At 38.1% G+C, this 15,279-nt stretch overlaps 1 protein-coding gene across 39 annotated transcripts in view; it reads left to right on the forward strand.

Annotated features, from left to right (window-relative positions):
* CCDC18 (coiled-coil domain containing 18) overlaps positions 1-15,279 on the forward strand; it is a 98,818-nt gene that overhangs the window by 58,514 nt on the left and 25,025 nt on the right. For 38 of the 39 annotated variants that reach the window (XM_017001164.3, XM_017001162.3, XM_011541361.4 and 35 more), the window contains 4 exons: positions 884-1,047; positions 1,257-1,470; positions 7,679-7,778; positions 8,412-8,528. In XM_017001164.3, the coding sequence (XP_016856653.1) occupies positions 884-1,047; positions 1,257-1,470; positions 7,679-7,778; positions 8,412-8,528 (595 nt within the window). Of the gene's footprint in view, positions 1-883; positions 1,048-1,256; positions 1,471-7,003; positions 7,779-8,411; positions 8,529-15,279 lie in introns of those variants that run through there. The other variant, XM_017001169.3, reaches the window with a different exon arrangement.

Consider the following 15,279-nt stretch of genomic DNA (forward strand, 5'->3'; position numbering starts at 1 on the left):
TTCCTTAAGTTTACTCATGGACTTCCAATTAAAAAACTCTTGAACAAATCCAAATTTGTTGAAGTTTTATCTAGAAAAGAAATGCTCCTACTTGCAAACTCAATTTAGAAATTTCAAAGATCAAACAACAGAAAGTGTTGACACAAAGGAACATGAACTCTTCCTACCATTGAGGGTAACATTAACAATTGTTTAATTAGTAAATATCACTTTAGAATTACCAACAAAGGGACTTAAAACTGGCTCTTAGTATGTTGATTTGTCTGTAGGGGAGCTGCCGTATTAGAATAAGTTCAGGACTGACAAAGTTAGTAAACCTGGCCCTATCACTATTAACAGCTAGTTGTATTATCTCAGACAACTCACCTAGTCTTCAGTTTCCTCCTCTGTAAAGCAGGGAAGTTGCACTAGTCTAGGAATCTCTAGTTCCTTTTAAAGCTAAAAAAAGGATAGAACCAATAATAAAACTGAGTAAAAGCAATTGACTTGGCTCTCCAGTGAGTAATATGGTTTTTATGGTGAATAATTTGATTGTTTGGCTTATTTATTTTCTTTGTTGCTAATAACAAAAATTCCTAGATGAATGAGGTCCTTGGATATTTTCAATACATGCAAAGCTAAAGTTAAATGTGGTTAGAGTGAAAAGAATGCTAGGCTTGTTAAATATTACCAGGTAGTAGTAGTAAAGTTGTATTTAGTGGTATGTAATGTGTAAAGGAATAGTTTTTAGTTGGAGAATTTTTAAAAATAGGTGATTTAAAATTCCAACTAGATATTTTGCTGATATTTGTCCTTATATAACTTGCAGGCTTTTTTTTTAGTCAGAGACAAGTTAGTTGGTTAAGTTTCTAAATTACCTGTTTTATTATTTGTTTTTAATTAGGCAAGTAAAGATTGAGATGGATCAGTACAAAGAAGAGCTGTCTAAAATGGAAAAGGAAATAATGCACCTAAAACGAGATGGAGAAAATAAAGCAATGCACCTCTCTCAATTAGATATGATCTTAGATCAGACAAAGACAGAGCTAGAAAAGAAAACAAATGCTGGTAAGCAAGTGGTTAGATGAGTATAGCTGCCTATGTATTTGTACTTAACGAAGTGAAATAATGTGAGAATTTGAGATGGTGGGGCTGGAAGGGAAAATAAGTGGTATTTTGCCTCTCGTAGATGAATATAATTGAATATTCTTAATATATACAAAGTTTGTAATAAATGGTTTACATATAGTTATAAAATTATTCTCTCCTCTTAATAGTAAAGGAGTTAGAAAAGTTACAGCACAGTACTGAAACTGAACTAACAGAAGCCTTGCAAAAACGGGAAGTACTTGAGACTGAACTACAAAATGCTCATGGAGAATTAAAAAGTACTTTAAGACAACTCCAGGAATTGAGAGATGTACTACAGAAGGCTCAATTATCATTAGAGGAAAAATACACTACTATAAAGGATCTCACAGCTGAACTTAGGTGAGTTAAATAATAAGAAATTATATCACAGTTATAAGTCCTTGGATAATACAATAAAATATGTTGTTGCATTCTAGACGTCTAAATTTCTCAACTGTCTTTGGCTCACTTTGGCTCATCCCAGCCAGCCTATCCCATGCCTTATCTAACTAATTCAGCTGTCTTTGTTGGCCGCCAAAACTTTCATCCTCAGTCTTTAGACCATTTTATACTAGCCCTAGTGGTAAAAAATCATTGGGCATGCATACAGCAGTGGCTAACAGCAGGAGGATATTAATAATGATAATATTGTTCTTTGTATTAAGTCCTTATTTTATGCTAGGACTACGCCAGGGACTTCACATATGATCTCACTCATTTCCTTACAACACACCTATTAGAAACATATATCACCTTTTTAATAGTTGAGAAACCTGAGGCCTTGAGAAAAATAAAATGCCCCAAGTCATACAGGTAGTAGAGTCTAGAGAAGGGAGTTAAACACAAGTCTGTCCAACTCTAAAGTCTGGGATCTTAGATTAGCAGTATAACATAAACTGTTATGCTGACACACATGTATAGTGAGTGGAGGTGTACAGCCAGATTAGAGCCAAAGTATGAGAAATAGGTTCAGAAAAGGAAAATAGAATTACAAATTAGGATGTAAAATGTGAAATAAAAGAACAGGATAAAGAGCAGCAAGATAACCCAGAAACTTAGATACTGTACCACAGAATTCAGTGTAGGGCCTCCTTCTCTTCTGTATCCACAAACTCATCCTTAGTAAATTTCATGTAGCTTTAAATACTATGTGTCAGACACTTCCAAACCCATTTCTCCAGTATTGACCTTTTCCTGTAACTCCAGATTCAATATCCAACTAGTTGTTACCTCCATTCGGATATTTTTAAGAGGCATCTCAGACTTAGCCAAAATAGGACTCATATTTTCTCATAACCCTACCCTTCTCCTAACTCAGTATCATGCAGTTGCTCAAACCACAAATATATAAGATTTTTCTTGTTCTCTCTTTCCATCCCTTTTTTCATCCAGTGTATTAGCAAGCCATGTCAACTTTATTTCCAAAACATATATATATATTTTTTTTCAGACAGATTCTTGCCCAGGTTGGAGTGCAGTGGCATGATCTCAGCTCACTGCAGCCTCCACCTCCTGTTCAAGCAATTCTCCTGCCTCAGCCACCAAGTAACTGGGATTACAGGCACCTGCCACCACGCCTGGCTAATTTTTGTATTGTTAATAGAGGCGGGGTTTCACCACGTTGGCCAGACTGGTCTTGAACTCCTGACCTCAGGTGATCCATCCACCTGGGCCTCCCAAGGTGCTGAGATTACAGACATGAGCCACTGCACCCAGCCCCAAAACACATTCTTAAATCCATTGATTTCGTGGCCTCTTTTCTGTTATCCTTAGCACAAAGCATCATCTCTTACCTGGTCTGTTGCTGTGGCTTCCTAGCTGGGCTCTCTGCTTACAATCTTGACCCCCTCCCAACAATCCATTTTCCAAAAATAGATTTAAGTTTATTATTTAAAACATAAATTAGACCAGGCGCGGTGGCTCACGCCTGTAATCCCAACACTTTGGGAGGCCGAGACAAGCAGATCACAAGGTCAGGAGTTTGAAACCAGCCTGGCCAATATGGTGAAACCCCATCTCTACTAAAAATGCAAAAATCAGCCAGGTGTGGTGGCAGGTGTGTGTAGTCTTAGCTACTCAGGAGGCTGAGGCAGGAGAATTGTTTGAACCTGGGAGGTGGAGGTTGCAATGAGCCAAGAATGAGCCATGATCCATTCCAGCCTGAGTGACAGAGTGAGACTCCATCTCAAAAAAAAAAAAAAAAAAAAAAATAGATCATATTGCTTACCTACTTAAACCTTCTAATGGCTTTCTAAAACCTTCAGAATAAAATCCAAACTCCTTCACAAATGAAAATAAAAACTACATTGATATATCACTTCATACCAAGGATGGTCATTTTTAAAAACCAAAAAATGGAAAAGAACAAGTGTTAGCAAGTGTAGAAAAAAAATGAAACCCTCATTCATTGCTGGAGGGGATCTAAAATGGTGCAGCCACTGTAGAAAACACTTTAGCCTTCCTCAGTAAGTTGAACGTAGAATTACCATATGACTCAGTAATTCCACTCCTAGTTTTGTACTCAAAAGGGTTGAAAACAGATATCTAAGCAAAAATTGTATACAAATGTTTACAAAGTAAGCCAAAAAGTGAAAACACCCCAAATGTTCATCATCAGATGAATGGATAAACAAAATATAGTGTCTTAGTCCGTTTTCATGCTGCTGATAAAGACATACCTGAGACTGGGCAATTCACCAAAGAAAGAAGTTTAATGGACTCACAGTTCCACGTGGCTGGGGAGGCCTCACAATCATGGTGGAAGGTGAAAGACACATCTCATATGGTGGCAGACAAGAGAGCTTGCGCAGGGAAACTCCGCTTTATAAAACCATCAGATCTCTTGAGACTGATTCACTCTCATGAGAACAGCATGGGAAAGACCTGCCCCCATGATTCAGTTACCTCCCACTGGGTCTCTCTCACAACACATGGGAATTCAAGATGAGATTTGGATGGGGTCACAGCCAAACTGTATCATTCTGCCCCGGCCCCTCCCAAATCTCATGTCCTCACATTTCAAAACAAATTATGCCTTCCCAACAGTCTCTCAAAGTCTTAATTCATTTGAGCAGTAACTCAAAAGTCCACAGTCCAAAGTCTCATCTGAGACAAGGCAAATCCCTTCTGCCTATCAGCCTGTAAAATCAAAAGCAAGTTAGTTACTTCCTAGATACAGTGGGGGTACAGACATTGGGTAAATACACCCATTCCAAATGGTAGAAATTGGCCAAAACAAAGGGGCTACAGGCCCCATGCAAGTCTGAAATTCAGCAGGGCAGTTAAATCTTAAAGCTCCAAAATGATCTATTTTGACTCCATGTCTCACATCCAGGTCACACTGATGCAAGAGGTGGGTTTCCTTGGTCTTGGCAGCTCCACCCCTGTGACTTTGTAGGCTATAGCCTTTCTCCTGGCTGCTTCCACCGGCTGGCATTGAGTATCTGTGGCTTTTCCAGGCTCATGGTGCAAGCTGTCAGTGCATCTGTTATTCTGGGGTTCTGGAGGATGGTGGCCCTCCCTCTTCTCACAGCTCTACCAGGCAGCGCCCCAGTGGGGACTCTGTATGGGGGTGCCCACCCCACATTTCCCTTCCACACTTTCCTAGCAGAGGTTCTCCATGAAGCCCTGCCTCAGCAGCAAACTTCTGCCTGGAGAACCAGGCCTTTCCATATATCCTCTGAAATCTAGGTGGAGGTTCCCAAACCTCAATTCTTGACTTCTGTGTACTCACAGATTCAACATTGGGTAGAAGCTGCCAAGGCATGGGGCTTGCACCCTCTGAAGCCACGGCCTGTGCTCTATGTTGTCCTTTTTCCGCCACAGCTACAGTGACTGGGATGCAGGGCACCAAGTCCCTAGGCTGCACACAGCGTGGTGACCCTGGATCCCACCCATGAAACCATTTTTTCCTCCTAGGCCTCCAGGCCTGTGATGGGAGAGGCTGCTCCAGAGACCTCTGACATGCCCTGGAGACATTTTCCCCATTGTCTTGGGGATTAACATTTGGCTTCTCATTACTTATGCAAATTTCTGCAGCCAGCTTGAATTTCTCCTCAGAAAATGGGATTTTCTTTTCTATCACACTCAAGTCACCTCTGGAGTGCTTTGTTGCTTAGAAATTTCTTCCACCAGATACGCTAAATCATCTCTCCGAAGTTCAAAATTCCACAAATCTCTAGGGCAGGGGCAAAATGCCACCAGTCTCTTTGCTAAAACTTAAGAGTCACCTTTGCTCCAGTTCCCAACAAGTTCCTCATTTCTCTCCAAGACCACCTCATTCTGGACTTTATTGTCCATATTGCTATCAGAATTTTGGTCAAAGCCATTGAACAAGTCTCTAGGAAGTTCCAAATTTTCCCACATTTTCCTGTATTCTTCTGAGCCCTCCAAACTGTTCCAACCCTACCTGTTACCCAGTTCCAAAGTCGCTTCCACATTTTTGGGTATCTACAGTAGTGCCCCACTTTACTGGTACCAATTTACTGTATTAGTGAGTTTTCACGCTGTTGATAAAGACATACCTGAGACTGCACAATTTACAAAAGAAAGAGGTTTAATGGACTCACAGTTCCACGTGGCTGGGGAGGCCTCACAATCATGGTGGAAGGTGAAAGGCACATCTCACTGGTAGCAGACAAGAGAACTTGTGCAGGGAACCTCCCATTTTTAAAACCATCAGATCTCATGAGACTTATTCACTGTCACAAGAATAGCCAAGGAGAGACCTGCCCCCATGATTCAATTACCTCCCACTGGGTTTCTCCTAAACATGTAGAATTCAAGATCAGATTTGGGTGGGAACACAGCCAAACCATATCATATAGTGTATCCATACAAAGAATATTATTCAGTCATAAAAACGAATGAACTACTGATACATGGTACAAAGTGCATGAACTTTGAAAACATTATGCTAAGTGAAAGCCAGACACATGTTGCATAATTCCATTTATATGAAATATTCAGAATTGGCAAATTCATAGAGAAAGAAAGATTAGTGGTTGCCAGGGACTAGGGGAAGGGAAAATGGAAAATAAGTGCTAATGAGTAGGAAGTTCTTTGTGGGGGACTGATGGAAAAATACTGGACATAGATAGTGGTGATGGTTACATAACATTATGAATATACTTAATGCTTCTGAACTGTGCACTTTAAAATGGTTAAAATGGTAAATTTTATATTATATGAATTTTACCACAGTTAAAAAAATCCAAGTTCCTTATCTTGAATACAAAGCCTTATGTGGTCTGGTTCCTGTCCTTGTTCCTGACATTTTTCTTATACTTTACACTTACCAAGTTTTCTTCTACCATGGAACCTTGGCCATAGCTGTTTCTTTTTACTGGAATAACAGTTACATGGTCAGCTTCTTCTTGTCCTTCACATTACTTCAGAGAGAAGCCTTCTCTGACTACCCACTCTAAAGTAGCCACCCAGTCACTACCTCATCATGCAGTTAATGCTCTAACATAGCATTTAATATTATATTTTTCTTACTTAGGTGTCTGTCTTTTCTTCTGGACCTATTACAATGTAAACTCAGATCAGAGACATTTATCTTTTTTACTATTAAATCCACAGCACTTAGAACCCTGGCATATAGGAAACATCCAGTAAATATTTGCAAAATAAATAAGTGAATGAAAACATGAAAGATGTAAACAGTGAAATCTTAAGTTCTAGCTAACAGATGAATTGTGGAAGCTCCGCTATTTGCATAGATAGAAGTTAGAGTTTTCTTTAATTTCATACTATTTTTAGAATATTAGTTTTAGCCTTGTGTTATATACCTCTTGAGACTTTTAGAAGAATATTAAAAACAACTCATTAAAGAAGTTCAAAATCTTCTTTTAAAAATTAGTACCCTTATCAGTACTATTTCATATTTCAGACTGGAAAATCATATGAAGATTTTCAAGATCAACATTTTCAACCTTTGTCTTATCAGAACTTAGAGTTTCAAATTATTCTCTGATCACAGGCTTCACTTTGGTAAAAGCCTTAAAATTGTGTCAGTATTAAGCATTTTATAATATAAGGTTATACATAAATTAGGGTTTAAGAGGGCTTAGAATTTGTAATATTTTTATATTAGATTTAAGTGCTTTTTTATATGTAAGGCATCGTTTTGAGTAACATCCTCATGAGAAATACTATGGTTAAATGCCTCATTCAATTGTAATGAAGTCACAATTGTTACATGTAAAAGACTTTGAAACACTCCTTTGATCTGTGTATGAAAAAATGTGGATATGTATTTTTAAAAATTCTTATAATCATTCAATCTTGGAGTCCTGGGAGTGTTTTAGCAATTAGCTTAAATTATCTGTAATACCACAGTGTGAGTTAACTTTTACCCTTTTAGAATACCCTTTATTAAATTAATTGTATTGATGTCAATCTTTTTCTTTATCTATTATTCCTTAAATTTGACCCTTTCAATCTGACTTGATTGCATATATTATTTTGCTTTTAATTTATAGAAGAGGTAACCTGGTTGACCTAACTTTTTAAAATTATACTCTTCTACTATCTGCTTTGATCTTTTTCCTTTGATAAATTGTAGAGAATGCAAGATGGAGATTGAAGACAAAAAGCAGGAGCTCCTTGAAATGGATCAGGCACTTAAAGAGAGAAATTGGGAACTAAAGCAAAGAGCAGCTCAGGTTGATTTTTCTTGATTATATTTTAATGGAGTTTTCTGTTATGACACAGTCACACAGGATTTGAGAGGTCACCAATTTTTTGTAAAATGGGCATTTTTATAGCATATCTTTTCTCTGCACATAGGGTTTACTAAATTAGAGATATGTCATCTCTCTTTATCTTGATATTTTTCTAGCAAGTAGATTTTGAAAATGAGGATTAGCTTAGTATCTGAGCCTTTTGATCTCTTATATTACCCCGTATCAGAAGAAGCTAAGTGTTGGAGGAACAAAAATATTTGGAAGGCGTTATTTAGCACTTTTTGTCCAGCATAAAATGAAGTCTGAATTATTTGTCATTTATGAACACAACTATATTTTATTGTTTCTATAATGTATATGGGATTGAATGTCACTATGTATTGTTAAAAAAAATGCATATGGGGCTCATGAGCCAGTATTAGTAAACAATGATTATTTTTCCCATTTAAAAAATAATTTGAGTTTATACTAAAGCAAAGAGCATTAGTATATTAGCTATACTAATGAGTTTATACTTGTTATACTTGCTATAAACAATTACAAAGCCTATTCTAAGCATACAAGTTTTTATATCAGAATAAAATTGAACAACAGTTTAAGGTTATTTTTTAGGTTACACATTTGGATATGACTATTCGTGAGCACAGAGGAGAAATGGAACAAAAAATAATTAAATTAGAAGGTACTCTGGAGAAATCAGAATTGGAACTTAAAGAATGTAACAAACAGGTAAATTATTTTAAAATTACGTATTTTAAATTATTTTTTAAAAAATTCAAACTGTAACTAAAAACACCCCTTCAAATAGTGGGTGTTTTTTGTTATTGTTGTTTTGTTTTTTGTTTTTTTTGGAGACAGAGTCGTTCTCTGTCACCCAGGCTGGAGAGCAGTGACACGTGATCATACCTCACTGCAGCCTCGAGTTCCTGGGCTCAAGCAATCCTCCTGCCTCGGTCTCCCCAAAGCTTTGGGATTACAGGCGTGAGCGACCACACTCTGTGGATCTTTCACTTCTTTGATTAAATTTCTTCCTAGATACTTTATTTTTTTGTAGCTGCTTTAAATAGGATTGCCTTCTTGATTTCTTTTTCACATTGATTGCTTTTAGTGTATAGAAATGCTACTGATTTTTGTATGTTAATTTTGTATCTTGCAACTTGACTGAATTTATCAGTTCTTTTTTAGTTTTTGTTTTTGTTTGTGTTTTGAGACAAGATCTCACCCTGTCATCTGGGCTGGAGTGCAGTGTCATGATCATAGCTCACTGCCGCCTCAACATCCCAAGCTCAGGTGATCCCTCCACCTCAAGTCTCTGAAGTAGCTGGGACTACAGGCGTGCACCACCATGATTGGCTAATTTTTTAATTTTTTGTAGAGATGGGGTTTTGCCATGTTGCCTAGGTAGGTCTCAAACTCCTGGGCTCAAGCGATCTTCCCCCCTCAGCTTCCCAAAGTGCTGGGATTACAGGCATGAGACACCACGCCAGCCCTGTTTATCAGTTCTAATAGTTTTTTGGTGGAGTTTTCAGGTTTTTCCAAATACAAGATTATATCCTCTGCAAACAAGGATAATTTAACTTCTCTCTTTCCAATTTGGATGCCCTTTCTTTCTCTTGTCTAGTTGCTCTAGTCAGGACTCCCAGTATTATACTGAATAATAGTGGTGAAAGTGGGCATACTTGTCTTGTTCTATATCTTAGTGGAAAGACTTTGAGTTTTTCCCTATTCCTATGATATTAACTATGGGTTTGTTGTAAATGATCTTTACTGTGTTATTTTCCTTCTTTTTTTTTTTTTTTTTTTTTTTTGAGATGGAGTCTTGCTCTGTCACCCGGGCTAGAGTGCAGTGGCTTGATCTCAGCTCACTGCAACCTCCGCCTCCCGGGTTCAAGCAATTCTCTGCCTCAGCCTCCCCAGTAGCTGGGATTACAGGTGCCCACCACCACGCTCAGCTAATTTTTGTATTTTTAGTAGAGACGGCGTTTCACCATCTTGGCCAGGCTGGTCTTGAACTCCTGACCTCATGACTTCACACACCTCAGCCTCCCAAAGTGCTGGGATTACAGGCGTGAGCCACTGCGCCCAGCCTGTTATTTTCCTTCTATACCCAATTTGTTGAGAGCTTTTATAATGTGAAGATGTTGAATTTTATCTGATGCTTTTCAATAATGCTTTTAATTTTAATATGAAATTATTATATGGTTTTTGTCCTTGATTCTGTTGATGTAATGTATCATGTTTAATGATTTGTGTATGTTGAACCATCTTGGCATCCCTGGGATGAATTCCACTTGGTTATGGTGAATGATCTTTTAAAAATGTCTTTGAATTCAGTTGATAGTATTTTGTTGTGGATTCTGCCTCTGTGTTCATCAGGGATATTGGCCTGTTGTTTTCTGTTTCTGTTATGTCCTTGTCCGGTTTTGGTATCAGGGTAATGCTGGCCTTGTAGAATGAGTTTAGAAGTGGGCCAGGCACGGTGGTGCGTGCCTGTAATCCCAGCACTTTGGGAGGTCGAGGTGGGCAGATTGCCTGAGCTCAGTTCAAGACCAGCCTAGACAACCTGGAGAAACCCCATCTCTATAGAAAGTAGAAAAATTAGCCAGGTGTAGTGGCATGTGCCTGTAGTCCCAGCTATTAAGGAGGCTGAGGTGGAAGGATTGCTTGAGCCTGGGAAGTAGAGGCTGCATTGAGCCATGAGTGCACAACTGCACCCCAGCCTGGGCGACAGAGTGAAACCCTGTCTCAAAAAAAAAAAAAAAAAAAAAATGTTCCCTCCTCTTCAATTTTTTGAAATAGTTTGAGTAGAATTGGTATTAGTTTTTCTTTAAATGTTTGGTAGAATTCAGCAGTGAATGTATCAGGTCCTGGGCTTTTCTTTGATGGGCGACTTTTTATTACTGCTTTTATCTCATTACTTGTTATTGTTCTATTCAAGTTTTCTGTTTCTTCATGGTTCAATCTCAGTAGGTTGTGTGGGTCCAGGAATTTATCCATTTCTTCTAGTTTTTCCAATTTGTTGGTATGTAGTTGTTCATAACAGTCTGTAGTGATCCTTTGTATTTCTGTGGTATGAGTTGTAATGTTTCCTTTTTCATCTCATTTTATTTATTTGGATTCTCTCTCTTCTTAGTCATCTAAAGGTATTTGTTAATTTTGTTCATCTTTTCAAGAAATTAACTCTTTGTTTCATTTATCCTCTGTATTGTTTTATAGTCTCAATTTCATTTATTTTTGCTCTGATCTTTATTACTGCTTTCCTTCTAATAATATTGGGTTTGGCTGTTGCTATTCCAGTGTGGGAAAGGCAGTTCAAGACCAACTTGAACTTACCTTTTGTAGAGACAGGGTCCCACTATGTTGCTCAGGCTCACATTCTTATCAGCACATGGAATTATCCAGAATACATAAATGTATTATGTATTATCCAGAATATGTAATATGTTAGGCCACAAAATAAGTCTCATCAAATTTTTAAAGGTAGAAATCCTATCAAATATATTCTCAATGCAATTCTAAAAGCATCATTTTCAGTAATATGTCCAATAATATTTTCAATAATGCTTTTAACATGCACCTTTAGGTGCATTGTTTGTTTGAAATTTTTGTATTTTTTTGATGTAAGCAATTATTGCTATAAACTTTCCTCTTGGTACTGCATTCACAGTAGCCCGTAGGTTTTGTTATGTTGTATATCCATTTTTATTTGTTTCAAGACATTAAAATTTTTTTTAAAATTTCTTCACTCACCCTTTGTTCATTCAGGTGCATTTGTTTACATTTTATGTATTTATATAATTTCTAAAGTTCCTCTTATTATTGATTTCTATTTTTATTCCATAGTGGTTAGATAATATATTTGATAGGATTTCTACCTTTAAAATTTGATGAGACTTATTTTGTGGCCTAACATATTTATGTATTCTGGATAATATTCCATGTGCAGATAAGAATGTGAGCCTGGGCAACATAGTGGGACCCTGTCTCTACAAAAAGTGAAAAAAAATTAGCCAGGTGTGATGATGAGCACTTGTACTCCCAGCTACTTGGGAGGCTGAGGCGGGAGGATCACTTGAACCCAGGAGGTCGAGGCTGCAGTGAGCTATGATTGTGCCACTGCACTCCAGCCTGGGCATCAGAGTGAGACCCTGTCAAAAAAAAAAAAAAAAAAAGAAAAGAGAGAAAAAAAAGAATATGTATTCAGTAACAGTGGGTGAAATGTTCTGTAAATGTCAGTCACAAAATGCCTCCTTGGCCTAGTTTGTAGTTGAACTCTGATGTTTCTTTGTTGATTTTTTTAATCTGGACAATCTGTTCATTACTGAGAGTGGGGTATTGAAGTCCCTGTCGTTTTATTGCAACCACCTATTTGTCCCTTGAGATCTATTAATGTTTGCTTTATATACTCGGGAGCTTTATATGCCTGGGTGCATAGATATTTATAATTTTTATATCCTCTTGCTAGCGTGACACATTTATCATTAAATACTGGCCTTCTTTGTCTCTTTCTACTGTCTTTGATCTGTAGTCTGTTTTGTCTAAGTATAGCTATTTCTGCTATACTTTTGATTTCCATTTGAATGGAACATCTTTTTACATTATTTTACTTTCAGTCTATGTGTGTCTTTATGAAGTGAATTTCTTTTAGGAAGCATATAGTTGGATTTGTTTTTTAATCCATTCACCCACTCTATGTGTTTTAAATGGAAAATTTAGTCCAGTTACATTCAATGTTATTATTAATAGGTAAGGATCTGTGCCTTTCTGTTACTTGTTTCTTAGTTGTTTTGTAACTCCTCCCTTTCTTTCCCACTTACTGTCTTTCATTGTGGTTAAATGATTTTTTCTGGTAGTATGATTAATTGGTTGCTGTTTATTTTTAGTGTATCTCTCACAGGTTTTTGCTTTGTGGTGAGACTTATAGAAAACATCCTATTGTTATAACAAGCTATCAAAAACTGATATCAACTGTGATAGCAAAAACAAAAAAAAGTAAAAACTTGTATACTTTAATCTCCTTCTCCTTCCACATTTTGAATTTTTGGTGTTCCAATTAAATTGTTATATTGCCTATCTCTGAATAAATTGTTGTAATTATTATTTTTAATAATTTTGCCTTTTAGTCTTACTAAAGATATAAGTGGTTTACACACCATGATTTCAGTGTTGGTGTAACAGTCACATTAGTGGCGGTTTTTCTTTTAAGTTTGAAGTATTCCCTTTAGCATTTCTTGTAGGACAGGTCTAGTAGCGACAAATTTCCTCAGCTTTTCTTTGGGAAAGTGTCTCTTCTTCATTTCTGAAGGATAACTCTGCTTGGCACGGTATTCATGATTGACAGGTTTTTTTTGTTCAACACTGAGTATGTCATCTTACTCCCTCCTGGTCTGTAAATTTCTGCTGAGGTGTCTGCTACCAGGCATACTGGATCTTCCTTATATATTATTTGCTTCTTTTCTCTCACTGCTTTCAGGATCCTGTGTTTGTCTTTGATCTTTGAGAGTTTCATTATAATATGTCTTAGGGTGTTATTATTTGGGTTTAATCTGGTTAGCGATCTTTGACCTCTTTATACCTGCATACTTATATCTTTCCTCAGGTTTGGAAATTTTTCTTTTGTTTCTTTAAAAAAGCTTTCTACCCCTTTGTCTTTCTCAGTTCCCTTTTTAACTCCAATAATTCAAAGATTTGCTCTTTTGATGTTGTCCCAAAGATCCCATAAGCTTTGTTTATTCCTTTTTATTCCTTTTTTCCTCCTCTCACTGTGTAGTCTATTTATCTATCTATCTGTCTGTCTATCTATCTATCTATCTATCAAACTAATTAACTAACTAACATGGGGTCTTTGTTACCCAGAGGTGGAGTGCAGTGGCACAATCATAGCTCAATGTAGCCTTGACCACCTGGGCTCAAAGAATCCTCCCACTTCCGCATTGTGAGTAGCTGGGATTACAGGTGCATGCTGCCACACCTGGCTAATTAAAAAAAAATTTATTTTAAGTGATGGAGTTTCACTATGTGACTCAGTCTGGTCTCAAACTCCTGGGCTCAAGTGATCCTCTCAGCCTACTGAGTATCTGGGATTACAGGTGTGAGCCACCATCCTCAGTTCTGATTATATATTTTCAAATAGTCCATCTTCAAGCTCACTGATTCTATTTGACCCATTCTGCTGTTGATGCTCTTTATTTCATTTTTCACTTCATTTATTGTATTTTTCAGCTCCAAAATTTTTGTTTGATTTTTTAAAAATTATTTTATTCTCTGTTAAGTTTTTTTGATAAATTTCTCAATTGATTCCCTGCGTCGTCTTAGAGTTTGTTGAACTTCCTTAAAATACCTATTTTCAGTTCTTTGAGAGATCACACATCTCCATCACTTCAGGGTTACTCTCTGGTGCCTAATATTGTTCATTTGGTAAGGTTGTATTTCTTTCAATGTTCTTGATACTTGTAGATATGCAACGACATCTGCATATTCAGGGACTGGGTATTTATTTTAGTCTTTGCAGTCTGGCTTAGTTTGTGCTTGTCCTTTTTGGGAGGCCCTTCCAGGAATTTAAGCAAACTGGCTTTTGTGTTCCCTGAGGCTGTGATCACTGCAGCTGTTGAACACTAGAGAATAATCTACATCCAGGCTTGCTGCAGGTCTTACAAGGGCTTCAAGGTTGACATGGCTTTCTGGCCCACATGGACCTGGGAAGGGGTCAAGTTGCGTACTAAGGCTGTGGGAATGCTTGCCAGGGACCCAGGTCCAGAAGGCTGTCCTGGTGGCCCAGATGGGCATGTTTCCCAGCAAATCTTTTGACAGGTGAGATGAGTCTCTAGTTGCAATGAGAGGGGCTGGAGTTGAGACTGGCCCTCTTGGGATATATTGTGGAATGGAGGCTGAAGAGCCCAGTCTCAGCTTAGAGGGGCACACATAGCCCAGCAAGCTCCTTCACAGGATATTTCCCCAACGACAGTGTGAGGAGCTAGAGTTGAGACTGGGCCCCCTTGGCATCTGCTGTGGGATGGAGGCTGGAGAACCTATCTTGTTGGCCCAGACAGGGCCAGCAGGTCTCAGCTCAGATGGAATAGTTCCCTGTCTGCAGTGGGAGGTGCTGGAGCTGAGATTTAACCCCTTTAGCATCTGCTGTGGGACAGAGGCTGGAGAGCCTATCTCATTATTTCAGAGGTGCATGTGTCTCCCAGCAAGTCCCTGCACAGACAGGATAGTTCCCTGATTGCAGCAAGAGAGTCGGGGCTGAGACTGGGTCCCCTTGGGATCTGCTCTGGGACAGAGGTTGGCAAGCCTTTCAAGGAGGCTTAGACTCCTAGGCAGCAGGATAAGGACAGGTCTCCCTTTGGGTCTGTGTGTGAGTAGCTCTGAGCTGGGACCTTTGCTGAGGGGAGTTGGAGCAGAGTCACCAGGCAATTTTCCGGTCCACTGCTGAGACTGATGTCAGCAGGGAGAGAGCCTTTCCACTAAGGCACTAGTA

Source organism: Homo sapiens, chromosome 1 (genome assembly GCF_000001405.40).
Source record: "Homo sapiens chromosome 1, GRCh38.p14 Primary Assembly".
NCBI classification, from domain to species: domain Eukaryota; kingdom Metazoa; phylum Chordata; class Mammalia; order Primates; family Hominidae; genus Homo; species Homo sapiens.